Raw genomic sequence first — 23929 nt, forward strand, 5'->3', positions numbered from 1 at the left:
TTTTCGGAGAGAGATGAAGTTCTGGAAGGAATAACTGAGAGTCAGTAGCAGCAGCAGCATCAGCAGCATCCTAATCCTATTAGCAGCTGCTGTTGACGGACTGGCTGCTCCCTGCCAGGCACTAAGCAATGTCCTTGTGTACATGATCTCCAGCCTCTATATTGCCCTGAGAAGTGGATTTGATTATCCTGTTCTTCAGACAGGGAACTGAGACTCAGCAGTATTAAACCACCTGCCCAAGGTGCTATGCTAGGAAACAGCAGAGCCAGGGTTCCAAGCCAGGTCTGCTTATCTGCAGGCCTCCACAGAGGAGGAAGGCCTTATATGGGCACAACCTGGGAATGTCATGTAGGTGACCAGGCAGATGGGGGAGAGCAGCTGCCTCCTAAGTCAAGAGGGGGCGCCCTGGTACCCCAGGCTCAAAATGGCCTTGCTGTTTCAGAAACCTGGGGAATGGAGAAAAACACAGCTAAACCTTGGCCTGTGGGTGGAAGTGAGCAGCCTTGAAGACATAAAGTAATTCCCTAAGGGCTGGTGCCAAGCTGGATGACTGGAAATGGGAGTGAACCAAGAAAGCAGAAATCTTTAAGCCTGAGCCAAATTAGTTAAGTTCTGAGACAGAAATCTGTCATCTGCCTTTTCTCTATGTAGTTTGCATCCTGAAAAACCCTTTTCCATGGTGTTCACTGAGTGGGCTCTGAGAGTTTGGTATTTTGTTAAGGGAGGTGGGGGTAAATGAGAAAAAGCTGTAATCTTAGTGTTGAACCACTTTTATGGTTCAATATAAATGTTCCAAAATTATATATGGTCATTGTAGAAAATTTAGGAGAAAATGCAGAAAATTATAAAGGAAAAAAATTCTGTAATCTACCACTCACAGATAATAAGCAAAATGTTAAAAGATGACCCTTCTAGTCTTTTTGCCATACAATTTTAAAACATAAAAGGGATTAGACTCTGCACCATTTAGTAACATTTTATCACTTAGCGCCACATCATGCACGTTTTCCGATGTCTTTAAATGGCCTTTTCAAACATAACTTTTCTTCCCCATCAGGTGACGTATCATAATTTAATTAGTCCTTCCTTGTTGGACATTGGGATGATTAAGAGTTTGTTCCCTTGATTAGCTCACCTGGTAGAATATTCCATTAGGAACCTGGAACAGTGGGACAGGCATCTATCTTGAGAAATCTATGCTATTTATATACTCTTCGCTCGTTAATAATTGTCTCTATTAGCAACTAACCACAGGTCTGAACTAGCGTCTGATATTTATAGCCACCTCACTTTCTTTTGTTCTCCTAATGGAATCAGTTTAAATATGTCACAAACCTTTTATTCTACAAGGGAACATTAGAGCAAGATATTCATCTCAGGAACTGTGAGCATAGACCAGTGTTATTTATATATATCTACACACATACGTGATCTTTATATAGACAGACAGGAGCAAAAGGGCACACAGCAAAAACAACCACACTAGCAGTAGAAGAGTCCCTTCCTGTCAACAATGAAGCATTTGGAAGGAAATCAGAGGCATACAACCAAATAGGCTTTTTACCCCCTTGGGGGCCATATCAACAGCATGGCTATTCAGGGGCCATGCTCTGTCACCTTGAGGTCATGCCAAAGAAACTTGGACTTATACACAGATCTTAATCGGCTCTTGTCCCCAGGACATTCTTCTTGTTTACAAAAAAAAAAAAAAAAAATTATATGGATGCCCTTACCAAAAGAGCAGGGATTGTGGCTATTTTCTTTTTTTATCTTTCTTTTCTTTTCTTTTCTTTTTTTTGACAGTCTTGCTCTGTCACCCAGGCTGGAGTGTGCAGTGGCACGATCTCAGCTCTCACTGAAACCCCTGCATCCTGGGTTCAAGCGATTTTCCTGCCTCAACCTCCCAAGTAGCTGGGATTACAGGTGTGCGCCACCACGTCTGGCTAATTTTTGTATTTTTAGTAGAGATGGGGTTTCACCATGTTGGCCAGGCTGGTCTCGAACTCCTGACCTCAGGTGATCCACCCGCCTTGGCCTACCAAAGTGCTGGGATTACAGGCATGAGCCACCGCACCCAGCCAGTTATGGCTATTTTCATCTTTCATCCCTTCTGTTGGCTTAAACACACACACACACACGCACACACACACTGATGCATTAGTGCCTGCGCAGTCAGGGAAGGAGAGGAAGGGACAACTTAGAGACTGGAGCGGGCTTCCATGAAGGTACCTAGAAAAATAAGGAAAAGGCTGATGTCCTATAGCAAACAAAGATTATTTGCAAATTCACAAATCAGCGTTTTTGTCTTTTAAATCTGCTTTTGCCAAAGATGATTATTTGTCAATGTCAGAAGATCCGCATCAGCTGTCACCTGGAAAAAAAAGGGGAGAGTTGAGTGAGAAGTCCTGTTTGTGACCCATGAAGCCAGGCTCCATTCTTTGTCTTCTCACTGGCTCACTGAAGATCTGAAGGAGCCACATTCCACATAGAAATCCCCATAAAGCATTCCTCTGAAACACAGAATATAAAAAGAGGGCTGGACGATTATCAGTAGTTGGTTCTAATCTCAGCCTGTCACTAAATCCTGATGGGATTTGGACAAGTTTCCCTACCTTTCTTGGGTCTCAGTTTTCTTATCTGTAGGGAAGTTCATACAGGTTTGTAGATTTTAAATTGTGTTTAAAGGTGCTTTGGTGTTTTATAGATACTTGATTTGAACTTTTTAAAAAATCTATATCTTTTTTAAAATTATAATCCAAATAACACACTCTGTTCTATAGATGTTCGATTTGAACTTCAAAATATATATATACTTTTATCTTTTTAAAAATTGTAACCAAAATAACACTCAAATATGTTATTTATCAAATTTCAACATACTGAAACCCTCAATATGCTAATTTGATTTTTAGCTGTCCACAGTTTATTCTGCCATCTCTTTTTAACTTAAAAATAACTTGAGATTATCAATATGAACTGTTTAAAAAAAGTTATTGTACCATTTGCTGTAACTTATCTGTTAGGATTTCTCAATAAAATGCTAGTAAACAACATTTAGAAATAAACTAGATAATTATTACATAAGAATCAGGTTCAATGTTCTCATTGTCTTTATAACTAAATAGTTAAAACTTATACTAAAAGTAAAGTAAATTTATGCTAAATAGCATAATTCTGTATCTATCTTGTAAGTGTTCAATAACTGTTAGAAGTTCTCCTCATATGTACTTGGTTTCCTGTAAGGGTTTGTATTTTACAAAAGCCTTCTGTGGCAACATTACTTCCGAAAGCCCTTTAGACCTGACATTCTATATAACTTACATTTTTACATGTAAAACAAAATATGTTTGTGGCCCTGTAAATATAACAGTATATATTAATGACCATTAATGGTTTTAGTAAAAGTCAGGGGATTGTAATTAAAATAAGTCAATGATAACCACTTTAAAAGAAGTCTAAGCAATATCCCAATTAATGAAATTCCCCTAAATGAATTCTAATTAATAATTTGGGGCAAATTATTTTCCCCGCAGTTTAGCTGCTGTTTGCTTGTCAGTTGAAATGTATTATTGTATATTTGGGAAGAGGAAATTGACTTGAAGATTGGGAAGTCCAGCCCATGCTCCAGAGCTGAAGAATTCCACCCCAGGGGATTTTAGGAAATGGGTTTCGGGTGATGGTTCAATTGATCATTCTAAATTAAATTACTAAGTATGCTTCATATTTGGTTTAGAAAAACTGCTGGTGTATGCATTTTGCCCTTCTTCCTTTATCTTATTTTATGAAACAACCACCCCAATATAGTTAGTGAAGAAAAACTCTGAGAAATTGCCTAAACTCAAGTAATAAGGCCTATGAGGATGCTGTTTTCAGGAGCAACTTTGCCCTGTAATATAAACACAGGGAAGCATGAGTTGAACAACCCCTGCAGGGTGTTAACCACAGGGGGACCATCTGGCCTTTGAACACTGCATGTGGAACCTGATAGAATAGTTCTTGTTCAGATATGCCACAGGTCAGATCTCATGGCCCAGCATCACTGAACCCCTGCAAAAGTAAAGGTAAACAAATGAGGAACTGCCATTCTATCCAGGGACGCCAGTGTCACCAAAGAGGCAAGTGTTGGCCAGGCTGGTCTCGAACTCCTGACCTCAGGTAATCCGCCCACCTTGGCCTCCCAAAACGCTGGGATTATAGGCATAAGCCACCACGCCTGTCCTGCAGCATATTTGATTTTGATAGTAATTCAGACTTTTTAAAGTGCTAGTGTTGATTATCCTTTTGGTGCTTTATTCGTTAACTTTCATTTCTCCACCCATCAACTTTTAGCAGCAGCTCTCAACTCAATATGAGAATATACTTGTTTTCCTTCCCTCGTTCTTTCCTCTACCTCCCCAATATTTTTTCCACTGTATTTTTTCTTCACATTGTCAAAGTTGATGACATTTACATGTTGTTTGTGACATGTTTACCTACAGATTGATTCTCGAAGTTGAAAACCAGTAAGCAGCATTTATATTATGAATTTATTTAAAAACAATTCCCAGCCAGGCACAGTGGCTCACACCTGTAATCCCAGCACTTTGGGAGGCTGAGGCAGGCGGATCACTCAAGGTCAGGAGTTTGAGACCAGCCTGGCCAACATGGTGAAACCCCGTCTCTACTAAAAATGCAAACATTAGCCAGGCATGGCATGGTGGTGCACACTTGTAATCCCAGCTACTCTACTTGGGAGGCTAAGGCGGGAGGATCACTTGAACCTGGGAAGCAGAGGTTGCAGCGAGTCGAGGTCGCGCCACTGCGCTCCAGCTTGTGTAATGGAATGAAACTCCATCTCTAAATAAAATAAAATAAATTCCCTCCTCACTAATTCTCATCCCATATCTTCTTGTCCAGTGCGACTCAGAACACTGTACCCTCAGAACTGCCACTTGAGGCTTAAGAGGATGGAGATGGGAGGGAGAAGGAACCGCCTGCTTTTTTACACACAGAGGTCTGGGTGGTGGAAGGAGGCTTCAGTAGTTTCATGCAAGCCTCAAGTAATCCCATGGTTTTAGCCCCTCCCACCTGCCGGTCTTGCCTCTTGTTGACCTCAGTCTAGGGCCTCTCCAAATATCCATGGGGCTGACGGCATCCTCCACGGCTGCCCCCTGCACCTACCCTCACCTCACTGTGCAGTCTGGGCCAAGACAATTGAATTCTTTGCCTTTCAGAAATGTCTTAACATCCCTTGTCCTCTGACTGTTCCCGTCCTGTTCTCTTCATCATTATGGGGTTATATTGATGAAAAGATCCCCTTACTATCAACTTTAATGCCCTCTCGGTGGAAAGGGAGATGAATGCCTGCAGATCCACATCTTAGTAGAAATCTGAGTTGCCTCCCCTTCTCTTTGCAGCTGCTTTCCAGTTGGACTTGAGTCCAAGAAGATTTGAGATTTCTGCACTGAAAAGGACACTTTGCTTAGATAACTTTTCATTTGGTTGGGAGAGGGAAGGGGGGAACAACATGATAGGTAAAATAATGTTCACCTTTGGTTGCCTTGGTAAGAGCTTCCCCCTGTAAATGACACCTGGGGAGGTTGAGGGAGACAGAAGAGCAGCTGACAGGAAGACTGAGGGTCGGGGGATGGGAGGGTAATCACCAGATTGGAACCACTGAGTGGCAAGGATCCACTAGCTGGCTGGGGACAAAGTCACACTTGCCATTGGGTATCTGGAGGGCCCCAAGCCTATTCAGTCATGCAGCAAAATCCTCAGGAGTTCCTAGAGCAGGGAGAACAGACACAGGGAAGGAACTGCTTTCCTTACCTTATCCTTTACCCACTGCTCCAAAGGGCTCCTTTCCCCTCCCTCTTCCTTTCTCTCCAAGCCCTGGAAATGGCCTCTGCAATGTCATTTTTAATGTGCTGAAAGCCATTCCCCGCATCGCCAAAATAGCCAAAGTGATGCCTAACATTTATAACCAGGATGTAGATTTTCATTCCATAGAGATAAAGCTTAACATAAAAATCCCCTGGGAAAGGGAACCTGGTATCTTAGTAGAAAATGGCTGAGCTCAAATCCTCAATGTGAGTGCTAACAGGGAAGAGTATGAGTGTTTGAAAAGCAGGAAGAGAGGGCACCGCAGAGAAAGAAAAGGAACAGCAAGCGACCTTGGAACCAGGCCGATAGATGTTTTTTCACCATTTGCATAAGACGTGCTATTCCCCCATCATCCCACCCACTCCCACCTCCATCCTCTTCTAGAAGCTGCCACATGGCTATTCTAAGGGGACACTGCTCAAACTTGCAGTGGAGAATAATGGATGGGATGGGGATTTGCAGGCGAGAGCCATCTAGAGGGAAGGTGAGGGAGAGCAGAAGGAGAGGCCTGCAGGCCAGGGAGTGGGTGGCTGGGAGAGAGTGGCAGGGAGAACTGGTGGAAGGCGGGATATGGCGAAAGACACGCTCAGAGGCAAGGGAGCTTTCTGCTGAACATCTACAGCACTGGGATTAAAGATGAGAGGTGAATGCCAACGCGCCATCCATAGGAGAGATGAATGCCAATGCGCCATCCATAGTGGCCTTAGAAATAACAGCTGGGGTTAAAGATGAGAGGTGAATGCCAACGCGCTGTCCATAGTGGCCTTAGAAATGACAGCTGCGATTAAAGATAAGAGGTGAACGCCAACGTGCTGTCCATAGTGGCTTTAGAAATGACAGCACCATGAGCTCTCAAAATTAGCAGAGATGATTTTGCTGTGTTCGGACTGGAGGAGAGATGGGCATATGAGAATCAATGCATGAATGTGTGTGATTATTAGACACTCTACACAGTGACAGCCATTTCATGCCAACAGTGGAAGCCACAGTTATCTTATTTTAATTTTTTTTTCTACAATGAGCCTACTTATGGGATTCCTGTTCTGACCTCAAAAGGAAACAGAGCCGGAGAAGGGCAGTCCCTTGTCAAGGGGTGCATGGCAAGCCAATGGGAATTTAATTGTGTCACTCATTACACGGGCCTTATGGTCAGGACAGCTCTTAGTAGGTGTCCTGGGGCATTTAATTCACTCAGGCAGCAGAGCCTAATGGTTGAGGGCATGGCATCTGAGGGTGGAAGGCTGGGGTTTGGGGCCCAGTTCTGCCACTTTCCAGATGGGTATGTTTGGGCAAGTTCCTTAACCAGTGCATACCTCAGTTTTCCCATGTGTAAGGTGGAGGTAATAATGGCATGTTCCTAGGTTAGATGAAGTACATTGTTTCCTGTTATTACTGTCTAGTTTGGAAGGTAAATGGGATCTATGTGATTATTTCAGCAATCTTTTGTGTGGTATTTTTACTTTTCACACTGACTTCATAGCTGTTGCTTTTAACTCTTACAAAAACCCTGTGGGATAAAAATGGAAGGCATCAATTCCAGCTAACAGGCGAGGAAACTGAGGCTCAACATCACAGCATCTGTAAGTGGCAGAGGTCAGACTTGAGCTCAGAGTTGGTGTTTTTTGTTTGTTTGTTTTTAAGCCAGAGGTTCTCAACTGTACTCCCTGCTAGAGTCACCTCCCCTTAGAGATTCCCCTTCCCCTCTCCAGCCAAGGCTGTCCCTGAAGCTCTTCCTCCATGGGCCTTTGCCTTCTCCCATCGTTTTCCAGCAAGTCACATAGGCATCTTTACTTTTTTTAGTGGAGCACTACAAGGGTGACTTACCCTTGGCTGTTTTCTGGTGGTCAGAGTGACTTCGTCCTATTCTGTCCCTGGGTCCTCTGTGCCCTGGAAGCACACCTGGAGCTGGCCATCCCGAGTGAGGGATCCCACTGGGAGCACGGAATGGAGCAGAGTGGCACCAAGCCTGGACCCCCTGAGCATAGACAAAGTGGAACTGCAGAGGGACGGGGGCTGCAAAGACTTTCAGCAGGGTCTGCAATGATCTCTGTCCCCAGGGCTCCAGCGAACCCAACCAGGAAGCTTCTGTGTCCTCACAGGACAGATAATGATGACCCCCCTTGCTCAAGCTTTCTCAGAGGGGAGCACAATAGGTCCTCCCCATCTGGCCCCACTTCTTTCCTCAACTTGATTTTTCTACCTGTGGCCTCCCATGGCCCAGCAGAATCTATCTCTCTAGCCGTCTCTCTATTCCTCCAGCAACAGACTTCTCGAGGTCATGGTATGGACCCTTGCCCACCTCCTGGATAGCCTCTACTCACTCTTCAATTTAAATGTCACTTCTTCAGGGAGCCTGCTGTTTCTCCCCAAAGTAATGGTCTCCTTGCTACCTCCGTCCTGTACTTTTCCATCATATACTTATCACAGTTGTGATCATCTGCAGTCACAATTTTTTGCCATTATTTGCATCACATCTGCCCCTCCACTCCCAGACTGTAAGTTCCATGGGGCCCAGGACTGGATCCTCATTGCCTGGTACATAGTGATGCTCTATAAATATTACATGAAAGTATTAAATATTCAATAATGCTACATGCAAGTGCTTTGGACAGTGAAAGTTGCTTTGCAAATGTGTTTTCATCTTGATTTTATTGCTATCCATGGGGTTACCAAACAATAAAAGAACTGTCTGTGGCAGCTGAGGCTTCCAGAAGAATCAGGCAAAATGATTCGTAAGGAGAATTTATTGAAAATGGTCTGTAAGCTACACAGTGTCTTGTGGTGTGGCTGCTCCTGAGGGAGGGAAGTTGAGAAGCGAGCCTGAGGATATAACTTGTACTCAGTTTTGGTAAACAACCCAGATTCAGCATCTTGAGTTTGTCAGTGCGATGATCTGAAAGCCTGGAGAAGAAAAAGAAATGAACACCCGAGGGAGGGGCATGCAGTTGCTGTCCAGGTTTTCTTCTAAGCTGGTCTTCCTACTGTGTCATTTGAAGCCTTGCCTGTGTATGATGCCTGAGAGAGCATGTGCTGTTACCAGAATTTTACCGTCGGCTCAATCCCTTCTCCACTCCCAGCTTCTTTCGATGCCACTGAACTCTCACACCCCTATTTAGTTTATTCCTTTTTCCACACCTCGTTCAGCTCCTTCCTGACCTCCCCATTTTCTGTCCTTTGCCACAGTTCCTGCCTGCTGTGCCATTGTAGTCTGTGAGCCCAGCCTGGTCTTCAGTGCTCAACCATTCATTCCACATGTTCCTCTTAAGCCTCTGCTGTCATTCTAGAGAGCTAATCCATGATTCCCCCAGCAAATCCCACCCTTCAGGGAAGGGCACCTTTATGACTCACTTCCCCCAAGCACCTCTTCCAAACACTTGCCACTCTCAAGTCCCTAGGCCCATTCCCACCCCTGCATCATTTTTTATTCATCAACTTTTTATTGAGCATATACTTACTACATGCCAGAAACCATACATGGTTGGAGGTATAAGGGTAAATCTAGACACCATGCTTTTGCTCTTGGGATTCCCAGTATGATGGGAAGAAAGACCCAGAGAGAGAGAGAGAGAGAGAGAGAGAGAGTCCCATGAGATAAGCACTGTGGGTGTGTGTGTTGTGCTCTGTGAACTGGAGGGATGTTAGCTCTGAAGGTGTCAGGGTAACATTTCAGCACAGCATGAGCAGGGTTGCTCCAGGCAAACAGAGAGGACAGTGTCACAAGCAGGTGGACCTGCGTGTGTGGAGAATGTGGTGAATCAGGGAAGATCACCCCATTCTGTGTGGCTGTGGTGTGGGGGGCAGCCTCTGGAGAGTGGGGAAGACAGGTGCAGGCATGACCGTGGGGGCTGTGTGAGAAGCTTGTGTGTGAGGAACCTGTGGGGCAGTGGAGAGCTATTCAAAAAAACTTTTTAACAGAATGAAATGAATAGATATGTTTTAGGAATAATTGAGGAAAGGAAGACTGATTGCAGGGGATGCAGGAGGGCGGCAGAGAGAGCATTGCAGGGTTTATTCTGAACATATTCATTGAGGGATGCCACAGATCCTACAGTGCTCTCTGCTGCAGGAAAGCAAAAGTAAATGGTTCTCACACCCAGCTGCTGCAGGGGACAAAAGCTAGAGGTGGCATGATGTAGCATCTAGGTATTTAGAGATGTCCAGGACCTACCCTAAAGCAGTGCGGATGAAAGGGGACAGGCTGCAGCATCGCCACGATAAGGCTTTACCTCCCTGCTTTACTGTAGCCTCACCCCTACCCTCGCTATGCTTGCCCTGGGAGGTGGCCTCATGGGGGCAGGTCAGCAAGACTGTCCCAGGCCTTACTCCCAGCCACCATTGCTGACAACTCAAAGGAAGGTAGAGAGAACCTTAGGTCCTTGGAGCCTGGATGAGGGTAGACTTGAAGCTGGGACTCTACGCCTCTCTGCAATTATGTCAAAGAAAAGACAAAATGATCCACAGGGTGAAAAGAGATCACTCTCAAAGGCGATTTGTTTTGCTTTTTGTTTTATGTGAGAGAAACACTTGCCTTATAAAACTAAACCTAGGGATGGGGGTAGGCCCTGGGTGCCAATCTTCCATCCCAACCCCAGTGATCTGATCCCCTAGGGGCCCTTGGCTCAGTCCCGTGTGAGACCCACTTGAGTTGCTCTTCAGGCTTTCTGAGGCTAGGCCCCTTGAGGTGTCCTCAGACTCTGTCTACCCACTCCCACACTTGGGATCCTAATTTGCAATTCAGGCAGTTGAAACTGATTCAGAACGAAAAACAATTGACATCACTCCTTGAAAAAAGAAAATGATTTTGTCATTGGCAATATAAAAAGGCCTAGTTCTAAAAGCAATCTGCCTTCCACCCAGAAGGTTTGCACTGGACAGGTGAGGGTTCTGTCCCCTCCTGCCACGCTCAATGACAACATCCTCACTTGGTTTCCTCCAGGTGGGAAGTGATCAACACAGGAGAGGCAGCCCCTCCCGCCTATGCTGACCTGATCCAGCCCCACCTCTCCCTGTCCAGCCTTTACCTCTTCGTGTGTGTTCCGTAAGGAAGCTCTGTGCATGATGCGTATAAGTTGACCACCTTAAGTACTTTTCTGAGCCCCAAGTTGCTCTGGCCCATGCATTGGGTTAAAGGCAATATCTATCAAGTACTCTTCCTCCCAAAGGGTAGCTTGGAAGTAGGACTCTATATAAGCCTGCGGGGTGGCTGAGATCTTCCCCAGGCAGCCCCTGCCCAAACCCATTGACTTCCTCTTGTTCCCAGCACATAAGGACCCCGGGTCATAGCAAGAAGACAGAGCCTGGTTTCTGCTGGTTCTTGAGAACTCATGAAACCCTGAGGTTCATTTATCTGGAGTGTGTAGAGGCAAAGGAATGCTTTAGTGCGTCACCATCCAGCCCGCTGCAGGCCAAATATCCAAGTGTGTTGGCTGGGGCCCCAGCCCTGATCTGGGTTCCCAGTGAAATAACTACACTGTGCAGGTTAAATCCAGTTCCTGTCCTGGACTCCCAGTGCCTGGAAGAACTGTAGAGATCTTGGCTACTGGCAGGATTGCATTTGTCAAGCTAATGTGCTGCTGCTGTTGTCAAGGTTGCAGTATTTTCTGCATTGAGGACTATATCAAGTGTATGTCCAAGGCTCCCAGGCAGTGAGAATACTCCGTCTCTGTGTCCTGAGTGCTAATCACGGCAAAGCAACTCAAAAAGAAGGCAGGCAGCTGCCTCTGGGGCTGGAGGTAAGGTCTTCTCTCTTGACATCCTTCTGCCCATTGCCCCCTTTCCACTACCCCCTCCCTTTCTCTCTCCTCTTTTCCTCTCCCTAGCTCCTCCTGTTTGTCCCTGCTCCCCTAGCCTGGGCCTGCACCCTGGCTCATATCATCAGGATCCTGAGTGTTTTGTTTCCCACCGATGCATGTGGGCATGAGACTGTCCACTTTCCTGTGATTTATTCACTGTCTTGGTTACACCTGAACAGAGGCATCTTTTGTGGCTGGCCTTAAGGGGGCTTGGCTCTCCAATCTCACACTAGAATGAATTGATGTTTTCCTCACCCAGCAAACACTGGCTGGGCCCCAGTGGAGGCCAAGTGCTGTACTAGGCACCAGCCCTGCACTTCCTCACCAGGACAGGGCTAATTCTCAGTCCCCTCCTGCCATCGCTTCCTGAGGGCAGCCTGGCTCCAGCTCTGTTGTAGTGAAGGGAGAGGATTCTGATTTGGAATGCTGGTAGCTGCTGCCACATGGTCGATATGTGACTCTTTCTTTCCTGATAGAAAGTTATTACTTAATTATTTGAGGAGGAGGAGCTGTTTCTTTGCAGTTGGCCAATCCTGGCCATGCACGGGCCTTTGCTGGCTGGATCAGGTTCCCCTTCCTCACCTGACGTAGGATGCCCTGTAAGGTTAGCCCCAGGCCCAAGAAATGCCAAAATGGGTTGGGCCTGCTCCAAAAACAGGAGTGACCTTGGAAGAGTCCTTTCCTCTTTCTGGATTTCAGTTGCCTGGGTTCCTGCTGTAATTAGTATGAACTGACTAATGCCTGAAGGCTGGATGGTCACCTTTTTCAGCATGAAATCAAACCAGCAAGGAACGCAGGTGCTGCTGGGGAGACTGGGGTTCCCGTTGAGGCTCTTGTTCTTTGTCTCATCTGAGAGCTTACAGTGGATTCCCCACTGCCCATCTCCCTGGGTCCATGAGCTCCATTGCTTTCTTGTCCACTCCGCACCCAGTCGGTGGAGCCTCATGCCTTGTCATCTCCCTCCAGGGAGCTCTTCACCTGGAGGCTGACCAGTTCTCTCCCTCTCTCACCATGTGTACTGTGATCCAGTGGCCTCCCACGGGCCCTGACCATCAAGACTAAGAGGGTTGTGGGTGTGTGGAATGCGCTATGGGCCTGCAGGGCATTCCTTGTTCCTAGGAGATCAATGCGCTCCCTGGTATTTCTCCTGCTAGAACAAGGAGCCAAGTGCAAAAGCAAGTGTACAACCACGTTTCCTCTCCAGCACTCATGTCCCTACCATGTGATCTCTGTGGCATGTGGGTCTGACTCTCAGGGTTTCATAATCTTTCCATGAAGGAGGCACCCACAGAGGAGGGCAGCGGACACATGGCGGCAGTCAGGAAGTTAGAACCGAGGGAATGGTGTCACCATAATGGACTTGGTTAGCCAGTTGGCAATTCATTGTAGATTCATTCCTTGATACCCCACACCACAGGCTGGATGTCTTTGTGTGTCCTGGAAGAGGAGATAGAAATAATTTAGCCTGATGCTCCCGCCAGTCTCCATTCCCAACTCTCACAGAAAAGAAACTCAAAACACATGTGCAGTGGTTTCACCTCTTCCCGTGTGAAGGCCACCCTACTATTGGAGGTGTGTTGAGACTTGCCCAAGGCAGGAGAAGGGGTCACACTACCAGCCCCTACAGCCCACTTAATTCGCGATGGGTGCTGTTCACTTTGGTATAATTGGGTTGTGGTCATGACTGTACTTATTTCTGGAAGCACATCTGTATTGCCAGCCCGATTGTTCTTCTCTCATGAGTAAGTGGGCAGTGTTGTTATTCCCACCTCACAGAGATGAGACTTCTTGCTGGAGTGCTCACAGGCAGCGGCAGGACCAGAATCCAGGCCTCCTGGCTCCCTGGCTTTCCTGGACTCTGACAGCCCCGTATGGTCCAGGGATTGTTGACCTGACCTGTCAAAATAGATTTCTTCACCAGAAAACAGGGAGATGCAATCGCTGGGAGAGGGATCACTTTTTTCTGCTTTAGGAATGATTTCTTGTTGCCTCTGAGCAAAACCCCTGCAAATGATTAGCCTCCCCGGGAATAGTAGGAGGTAGCCATGCCTATGTGTCAGCTGGATAAAGAGCTGATGCACCTGGGTAAGAGGCAGGCTGGGCTGGGTGGAAGGAAGTCAAGAACTCTATGAAATTTAAAGGGACTGAATCTAGGATTTAAATCAGATAAGACTTGTGAAATTCTCATGTCTGGTTGGTATCCCTCGGTGGGTAGAAAGAAGTCAGTATTAGAAATTTGAATTTGTAAACTATGGTCTGGAGTATGGAGCTTCTGAGAATGCATTTGCACTGCTCAGATATTAATATTGATGCAGTAGGTTAGGAATTAGGTGCTGAGAATAGAGCGATGCACATGATGAGTTCCTGCCCTCACTGCACTTCCAGTCAAACATCAAACACAGCAGTTAAAACTGAAACAGAGAGAAAAGTGACATAAAAGGGCTAAGAGGGGGACACAGCCTGAACAGATAAGCTAGTCTGGGAAGGGAAAGGAGACATCAGGGAAGGCTTCCTGGAGGAAGGGACATTTAAACTTAGACCTAAAGGATGAATAAGAATTAGTGGCTGGGTATGGATTACACCTGTAATCCCAGTACCTTGGGAGGTTGAGGCAGGAAGATTGCTTGAGCCCAGGAGTTCGAGACCAGCCTGGGTAACATGATGAAACCTATGTCTACAAAAGTTTTAAAAAAGAAAAACCTAGCTGGACACAGTGGCATGCACCTGTAGTCCTGGCTACTCAGGAGGCTAAGGCAGGAGGATCTCTTAAGCCCACGAGTTTGAGGCTGCACTGAGCTATGATCGAGCCACTGCACACCAGCCTGGGTGACAGAGCAAGACCTTAGTCTCAAAAAATAAAAAAAAAAAAGAACCAGGCGAAGAGAAGGTGGGCAGTTTCCCTAACAAAAGGAACAGGTTTTCCTGACAAAAGGAACAGCAAGTGTGAAGGCCCAGAGGTAAGGGAAATGTGACATTATCTATAAGCTGAAAGATACCTTTTATGGCTGGTGAGTAGAGTTCAGCGAGACTGGAGATCAGAGGCTAGAGACAGTGAGAAAGGATGTCAGTTCCCAAGATGAGTTAAGGAAGCAAGGTAAATCCTTCTCCAAGAAACTGGGAAAATTAGAAAAACAGAAGCAAGCACTCAAGGATGCTCAAGAGTGCTCTGTAACAGGAAGCCCCATGGGAGATGACAGAGTTCACTGGTGTTGGAACCACGCCTAGTTTAGAACCCAGGCTCTACCTTCTAGGGTGTGATCTTGAGGAAGTCATTTCAACTCTCTGCAAAATGGAAGGAAGCGGAGGAGAATGGGCACCTGCAGGGCACCTACTGTGCACCACGCACTGTGCTGAGTTGATTAATCTACTGAGAATAGTTCCGCCTACCTCACAGTGTAACTAATGAAACTTCAACTTAAACGTTGTTGAATGTGTATGACTATGCCCAGCACCTAGGAGGCCCTCAATAAAGGCTAGCGCAGTTGGACTGTGTGCCTGGGGAACAAGGCAGGGATTGGTGCCAGAGACAAAGAAAGATCCCGTTAGCAATGGGAGCGTGAGGTCAGAGTCAAGGCCACCGATGCACATGGGCTCCGACTGAGTGCCAGCTCCAGATGCTTGGCAGAGGCTCTCAGGAGTGCTGTTTTAGAAGGACTTTGATTCTCCTGGCTCATCAGGAGAGAGTCATGACTGATTATCAATGTCTGCCATAGGCACAAAATGGAGTGAAGTAGTATATACGGCACACATCTGCCATTGCTGGTCGAAAGCAAGATAATACGGACTCCTGTGGCTACAAGCCAAGGATCTTTGAGCATCCCTGCCATGGGCTAACCCTGCAGGTAGAAAGTAAGTGGTCCCATTTATGGGTCCCAAAATTCGGCAGGAAAACTCAGGTCTGAACACTGAGCTGCCAGAGGACTTTCTGCATTCCCATGATGGCTTATTAAATGTGGGCTCACAGAGTTATCTCCCAATTCAGGGAAGGCACAGTGGCCTGCAGGCACCATTCAATAAGTACTGAAGCCAGTGTGGGAGAATTAAAGATGCAGGCTCTGCCTCTCCTCTGAGAAGCTCAGATCCGGCTGGGATCACTTCCCTTCAGAACACAGCCCAAACAAAGCAAGCCCCAAATAGGGCCTCACCTTATTTAGCCACTGAAGTCATAATTGCACTGATTTAGATTTTGAAAGAGGCCACCATCTTCTGCTATCTCAGATCTCCTTCCTTTAAAAAGAGAAGTTTCCCCTTGAATCTACAAGGGTCAAAGGTTGCAGGAGTCGTTTAAAATCAGAAGGATTTACACACCTGCTACACATGCCCCCTGGCACACTTGTGGACCAGAAGCTGGACTCAGCCTTCAGCCTGGGCAGGGGCCTTTGTGCAGCTGGTGCTATGCCCGTGGCCACCGGCTCCCAGACTTCCCACGCAGGGACCCAGATGCTCCCCTTCCCCAGCTTTGCTGATGTGGTGCTGGAGTTCCGACGAGGCAGCCGGAATTTCTCTCCGTGCTATTTTAGTATCGCTGAGAGGCATGGGAAGGCTTTGTTCTCCCTGGCTGGTTACGTAATTTTCAAAAGGAAAACAGAGCAAAGCCTGAACGCTCCTGGAGTTTGCTCTTTGGGGAGGAGGGAACTCCCCACCCAGCATCTGATGTTCCTTCTGCAAACTTCTCTTCCCTCCCTCAATTCTTTCCTCTAACCACCCCACCTCAGGGAGGTGAAGATAACAGGGTCCCCTCCTGTTTCTTTCTCAGCAGTGTCCCCACAGGCGTGTTCTTTAGAAAACCGTATTGAGGGAAACACAACCCAGGGTGGGTGGCATCACTGCCTCCCAGGGACCTTAAGATGTTTGCAGTCACCACAGGCTCACACGTCCCAGGGGGAGAAGGCTCACCTGAGGCCCATCATGGGCAGCAGAGCCTGTCAGTGGTTCCTCTGCTTGAGATGTATTTATTTTAGACTAAGCTGGGCTTTTGGCTCGGGTCGGTTGGTGTCCTGCTGGCTGGTGTTTGTGAAGGGTCATCCCAGGTCCTGGGCTGGGAGTGGTGCTGGGCATGAGAGAGGAACAGGCATAGGGACTGTAGCCCAAGGTTGGCATCATGGGCGGCACCATTAGGAGCAGCCATCTGCCCATATATCAGGGTTTCTGCAAAGGAAAATGAGTTCCTGAGCATGCACAGGTCACTCCACACGAACCACTGCAGCCTGCACTCCTCTGGGGTGGAGGGAGCAGCGCTTAATTTCAAAAGCCGGAAAGCCAGGGAGAGTTGTTTCTCCTAATTCCTGGGGGTCCCCCTGCCGCCGCTGAGAGTGAGACCCGGCTGAGTCTCAATGGTAAAGATCAGCAGTTACACAGCAGTTCTTAACTCGGTGAGGAAACACCTCTGGTCATTATGCTTTTGGGGGCCTGTGTGGCCTCCTCCCTTGAACCCCTGCTTTTAGCCCCTACTCACTCTGGAGGGATTTAAAAAACTTTCTTTTCTGGGCCTCAGGGATGCTTTTTAAATTTATCTTTCCATGTGGGTTGTACTGTGTCATAACCAAAATCTTACTGCAAACATGGAGCCATTCCTGTGTCCACTGATATTTATTTATTGAATCCCTCTCTATATGCCAGACACTGCCCTGGACCCTGGGTTACATCAGTGAAAACAGACAGGTAAGGTTCCCCTCCTCCCCAGAATTCTATCTGACTCTGGAATCTAATGAGATCCATGCCAGGTGAGACCCAGGACCCCAGACTCAAGGAGGGCTTTTCAAGGCCTCTTCTCTATTTTAGAAAGTCAAGAACTGCAGATCTCCAAGTCCTTCCTCTCCATTAGTTAGCTATCGCTGTATAACAAATGTCCCAACATTTATTGGCTTAAAAACAACATTTATTACCACGCAGCTCCTGAGAGTCAAGAATCTGGGCATGGTTTAGTTGGTGCCTCTGACTCGAGGTGTCCTGGGATGTCCATCAAGCTGTTGGCGGGGCTGTAGTCCACTCAGGGCTCAACTCAGGGAAGGGTTGCTTCCAAGCTCACTCACACGGTGGCCAGCAGGTCCATTTCTGAGAACTCACAGGGATCCCCCCATAGGGCTGCCTCAAGAAGGAGCAGCAGCTTCCCCAAAAGCGAACAGGAGAGAGTGATTACCTCAGATGGAAGCTACAGGCTCTTTATAACATGATCTCAGAAGTGGCATCCCATTCTTTTTGCCAAATTCTATTCTTTAGAAATGAGTCAGTGAGTCCAGCACCCACTTAAGGGGAGGGGATGACACAAGGCCTGAAAACCAGGATCACTGGGGCATCTGGGAAGCTGCCTTCCACATCCTCCAAGAGCCTCTCTGACTGATGGGACTCACCCTGCTTCCTGCTACGCTTATAGTAGGAATCACACAGTTGGCCCCTGAATGTTCCTGCATTGTTTCCATAATTATTGTTGTAGTTCCACTCCCCCAATATGAATATAAGCTTCTTGAGGTCAGAAGCCATGTGTCCTACCTCTTCTCACTTTCCATTTAGACCAACCGTGTGCTGAGCAAGTTACTGTCAGATCATCTCAGCCTCAAGTAAAAAAAAATGTAAAAGTCCAAAGCAAAAATGTCTTAAACAGCAGTAGGGCTTAACAGTCTCTCTTGGCAAGAAAGCTGGAGGTGGGTAGTTGCAGGCGTGGCTCAGCTCCTCAGCGATGCCAGCAAGGTCCCACACTCCTCTGCCACCTCCCCACGTGGCCTCAAGACAGCTGCTGCAGCACCAACACCACTTCCTCTACAACCGCATCCACAAACAGGAAGTAGGATTTCTTCTTGCTTGGGAAGGAAACCTTTTCCCTTAGGACTCCCCAGCAGGCTTTCCCTTAGGCTTGTTGACCAGAACAGGATCATATGACCACCCCTAAAGCAATCACTGCCAAGAGGGAATTGTATTACCACAGTTGGTTTAGATTCATGGTCCTCAACAGGGATGGGTTTGGGAGATGACATCACCTCCTGGGACTCCGGGAAATGTGAGTCTGACCCAGGGACCAGGGAGCGCTATTGGCATTTAGTGGGTTGGGATCAGAGTTGTTAAACTTCCAGCAATAGTATATGGTACAATCCCATAAAACAGAGAGAACTGCAGAAGCTGAGGCCGGAGTCATTGTGTAATCACCTGAGTGAGCTTGGAAGCCGATCTTCCTCCCTATTTGAGCCTTGAGATGACTGCAGCCCTGGCCAACAGCTTGACCTTGAGTCCGAGGCACCCAGCTCAAATGCCAACACCAACCCTGTTGAAAACTGCTGATTGAGACCAGTGATTTTCAACCAGAGGTGATTTTGTGCCTCCCCGACAGGTGACAGTTGTCAGTGTTTGGAGACACTTTCAGATGTCACAGCTTGGGGGTGTGACTGGCATCTAGGAGGCCGAGGCAAGGGATGCTGCTGAACATTCAGCCGTGCACAGGATAGTCCCACTGCTAAGGATCACTTGGCTCAAGATGTTGACAGTGCTGAGGCTGAGAAACCCTGGTTTAGACCCACTGGGAGTCATTCCTGGGTAGGCTCAGCTGCCTGATGGCCGAACCAGACCTGGTTTGTTCGTGAGGAGGAAGCAGGAACGTTTCCTGGGTAGGTGGCCACAGTCAGTGTCAGCTACAGGCCGTGCTAGTCAGGATGCCTGCAAGTCAGCCAGCTCGTCCCAAGGATGCCCAGTCCCTGTGCCACAGGCTCTAGCATGGCTGAGGTTCACAGTTAAAGGTCAAGAACATGATGGAAGGTGGGGGTGTGGTTGTTTAAAATCAAGGGTTTTTTACTCCACTTTTAATATTATTTCAACATTCTATTTCTTGGTTTCTCTTTCCATAGAATGGGCTTACTGTGGCCTCCATACTGGGTTGAACAAAGGCTGAAAAGGTGGCTGCCTCTTGCTTTAATTTGAGACATACCACAAGGTGTGCCTACCCCACATTTTTCCCTCACTGGGCCTGAAAACTCACACTGAGCCTAGATGGTTTGTGGTAAGAGTCACTCGCTGGGGCTGAGATCATACTATGGCGATTAGAGCGTGAGTGTTGGACTTGGACCAACCTGAGTTGACATCCCAGATTCTTCACCTGCCAGAGGGTGACTCTGGGAAAATCACTTCCCTCTTGGAGCTCCATGGAGGACGATATCAACCTCACAGGGGTGTTGTAAGACCCAACTGAAATAATCAGGTGAAGCCGTTGGCCTCTGGTAAACCCTCAGGACATGCAGTTCCACCATCTTCATCATGTCCTCTTTACCATCTCTCCAGCAGGCTTCTGTTAAGATGCAAGTGGGGTTGCGGAGCAAGGCACATCAGCCATACCACAGAATTGCAGAACTAGAAGGGACTTTAGGCCAGATTAGGTAGCTTTTGGAGAGCTGGGCCCTGAGGGCATCAAATTTGCATATGAGCTGAACCAAGCCTCACCTCCTAGGTAGCTCCCTAGGAGGCCAGGCCTGGGATAGTGTCGCCTTGAGGGGCAACAGGAAGACTGAGTCCAAGAGGAAGGAGACAGTGCAGTGCAGGAGGAGCCAGAAAAGGGCCGGGTCCCAACACACTTCAGGACCTGCTTGTGAATGAGCTAGAGGATGTTCCCACGGAGTCTAGAGCAGAGGTCCACGAACTACAGCCCACAAGCCTAATCTGGCCCAGCACCTATTTTTGTAAATAAAGTTTTACTGAAATGCAGCCATGCTCATTTGTTCAGGTATATTGTCTGTGGCTGCTTTTGTGCTATAAAGGCAGAATTAAGTTGTGTTGAGTGGTTTCAACAGAGGCTGTATGTCCTACAAACATGGAAATATTTGTTATCTGGCTCGTTATAGAAAAAGTTTGCCAATGCCTGGTCTAGAGGACTCCATTCACATAGACCACAGTGACTCATTAGGATCATGAGCCTTGGAGTCAGACTGACTGCGATGTGAATGGTGCCACCTAGAACTGTGCAGTGCATAGCATGCTCAGCTGGAAATAGCGGCTCCTCGGGAGAAGGGCTTCCTGTAAGTTTCAGAGTGTTCAGGAGAGGGGAAGAAAGCAGTGTCTGTGAAATGTCAGCACCTTGCTGGGGAGATAGTTCCTGTGGAAAGTCGAAAGCATGAGGTTCGGGAGGATCTGAGCAGATGGGGAGGTAAGTCTAAATTTAGACTTTCCAAAGCTGATTTGTAAACCAAAGCCCCAGGAATCCCAGAAAGGGACAGTTGGCACACGCCATCTCATCTCTGGTTTGCCTCCGCATGTTAAAAGGCTGGATGAGTGAGAGAATAATTAATTGGCCTCAACTAAGCTGTTACCTGAGAGTCAGTGAGAAAGCAGTTGAGAGCTGAAACTCCATTGTTCAGAGTCCTGAGGGTAGAACTTTCTATTCCTGTGTTTTATTACGATGCCCAGCCATGGAATCGTGGGGACCTTGGCTGCTCTTGTGAGAGTTCCATGCATTCCTCTTGCTGGGTGTCATTCAAGCACGATTGAACGAGTGACCTTTCCATCTCAGACAGTGAATGCCACCTCCCTGGGTTTGAAATCACACCTGTGATTCGGAGCAGCTCTGAACCACCACCTTTGAGCTGAGAATGGTTGGGCTTTGCCCTGAGAAGCTGCACCACACCAAGAGCTGCCATAACCACTCCCCTGCCCAGGTGGACACATCCAGATGCCAGTCTGCTCCTCCCCAGGGCCAGTGGGCCCACACCTCTCAGCATATCATGCAAGAAATGGACCACTAACCTTAGACTTCTTAGGCGGTGGATGCCTTGTAATCAGCCCACCTAGGGAGAAAGGCAAAGGGCTTACAATGCAAATTACAGAGGAATTGGAAAGAATTGCTCTGTAAAGAAACAGGAAAGAAAGAAACAGAAAATGAAGAGGCTTGAGAAGAGAGGCATAATAATAAACTCAAATGGGAACAGAGAAATGGTCAGACAAGAGGCTGCCTGATTAGAGCACTGAAACTCTAAGAGAGGCAGCATCTAAGCAGAATATGTTACTAAGAGGATTGAAGTTCAGAAATATTAGTTGGTCTGAATGGTTAGGGCTTGTTGTGAGATGCGCCCTTTGAACAATTTCCATGGCAAGTATCACAAGGGACAGTGACCACCTAGGAAACGTGGGCATCACCACTGTGTAGACATAATGAACGGTACTCAGCTCCTTCCAGTCAACGGATATTTTCTATGCTCTACTTTGTGCCCTGTAAGCTACTTGTGAAGCTTACAGTCTAGTTGGGAGATGGACATGTACAAAAAGTTAAATAACAGCCCAGGCTAATGTATGGTAAATGCCAAACACAGCGTACACATGAGTGCCACAGGAGTTTAGAAAAGGGAGACATGTCATTGAGAACCAGGATGGATGCTTTAGGAAAGAAGTGAGACTTTGGATTCTGAATGATAGGATTTCAACAAATGGGGGTGGTGGGGAAGCAGGAGAATATTTCAGGAACTGGGAAGATACAAGCAAAAAAGCCAGGCAGCAAAGAGTCTATTTAGCAGCCCACAAGAAAGGTGGAGTGGCTGGAATTGAGGCTTGCCACGTTGACATCGTACCTGGCCCCTAAGCTGACAGCATATTGGGAAGACCACTGAAAAAGAGACACACACACGGGATACAGTCCCTCCCATGCATGAGAGGGAAAGAGTTTTAAAAATAAATAAAGCACCTCTTAATTATTCGCTGATTATCTGCATTGCAGCTGATCTCAAGCAAATCCTGCATTCAGCTTGCTTGTGATGTCATCCCCTCTGCTTAGGTGCTCATTCCTCTCTCTGTTTACAACCCAGCAGAAGCTGGAAAGGAAGAAGGCTTAAGCATGTCTCTTCCTAAAAAAAATAATGATATGCAATTGCCTCTTTTTGCTATGCCCTTGGGAGTCAGACCAGGCTTGTGGGGAGAAAGAGAAGCTTCAGTGTAGTTGCCATTACATGACTTGGGCAGCAGGAGTCAAGGAGGGAGAGAATGGAGAGCTGTGGAGGCTCTTTGATTCCCCTGAGTTAGGTATCCAGGCCAACTTCGCTAGCACAGGCCATAGAATCTGGTTCACTGGGTGCTCCCAGCACTGTCTCTTAGTGGCTGGGCATCCTCAAACAGAGTGAATGGTATTCATTTATCCATTCATCAGATGGATATTGACCCTATGTATGCTGAAAGCACTAAGCTGGTGCTCTCCAAGCCTTGGTATCCTCACCTGTAAAGTTAGAACTGGAATCAGAATCGATGTTTCTCAGTGGAAGTGCTGTTGGCATTCAGGGGTGGAGGGGTGGATGTCAGTGGATGTGCTCTGGGCATTTGGGCATGGAGGTGGGAATGCTCGGTAGAATGGTTAGCAAATCCGGCCCTACCCATTAAATACCAGTAATGACTCCCAGTCAAATAAGGTGAGGAGGGCAGTACCATCTCCAGATAAGGACCACGGGCCTTGTTTTCTTAGATTTCTTCCCAATCTGAAATTCTGTAAGTCTATGGTTGTTTTGTTCCTGGACCCAGTAAAAACATGCAGAACAGAATTACCGAAGATCTGACAAATTATCAGAATCTTGAGTACATCTTATTCAAATGTAAGGGAATGTTTAACTAAACAGCAACAATAGGTAACATCTGTTAAGCAATTACTATGTTCTAGACCCTTGGCAAATTTCCTTCATTAGAAGTCTTTACAGGCGATCTGATTGTTTACTATTTCAGATCATCTGTGTCCCCTAATTTGCCCCCTTAATTTCAGAGCATTGAGTTGACTATCGTTTTTGCTTCATTTATCTTTGCAGAGTTGTGCGAAGTTCAGATAGCAAAGTGTCTCTATAGGAGGCCCTGCGATATGAGAATAAAGCAGCAGTCTGCCAAGTTCATGCCTTTGTGTTGGATACAGTCTTCTTTCTTTGTGTGTCTGTGGTCTTTATGAACTTAGAAAACCTGCCAGTCTCTTAGACGCTATGATATTACCTTACTTCAGAGATCTGAATTTACATGTCTAGTTTTGCAGGGTTTTTCCTCCCCACTTAGTTCCTATACCTGTAATTTGAGTCAACAGCCACCAGAGGGCAGGGACAGTGAAGTTTAGATTTGACCCATTGCTTTGAAGAGCGAGGTCACATTGTCAAAAAGAATACAGCTCACCATGCCAGTTTTGATATAGCACTGGGAACTCTGCACCCTGGTTTCTGGGCAAAGAGAGTCCTTTTATTATAGGTGGCAACATTATTTCCTTGTAATTTGGTACATGGGCTTCTTCAACTTACGTGGAAAGCAAGAGATACAAATGTCATTACATCTTAGTCCCTGTGAAAGCCTCT

At 46.9% G+C, this 23929-nt stretch overlaps 1 protein-coding gene across 9 annotated transcripts in view; it reads left to right on the top strand.

The window, feature by feature from the left end:
• The window catches only part of MAPK4 (mitogen-activated protein kinase 4), a 172215-nt gene that overhangs the window by 79074 nt on the left and 69212 nt on the right, over positions 1-23929 (top strand). For 2 of the 9 annotated variants that reach the window (XM_011526074.3, XM_005258299.4), the window contains exon 1: positions 11350-11594. The exons of 6 other annotated variants lie outside the window; for them this stretch is intronic. The gene's annotated coding sequence lies outside the window, so the exon portion shown is untranslated. Of the gene's footprint in view, positions 1-11349; positions 11595-20371; positions 20776-23929 lie in introns of those variants that run through there. One more of the 9 variants, XM_011526075.4, reaches the window with a different exon arrangement.

This window comes from Homo sapiens, chromosome 18, assembly GCF_000001405.40.
Source record: "Homo sapiens chromosome 18, GRCh38.p14 Primary Assembly".
NCBI lineage: Eukaryota > Metazoa > Chordata > Mammalia > Primates > Hominidae > Homo > Homo sapiens.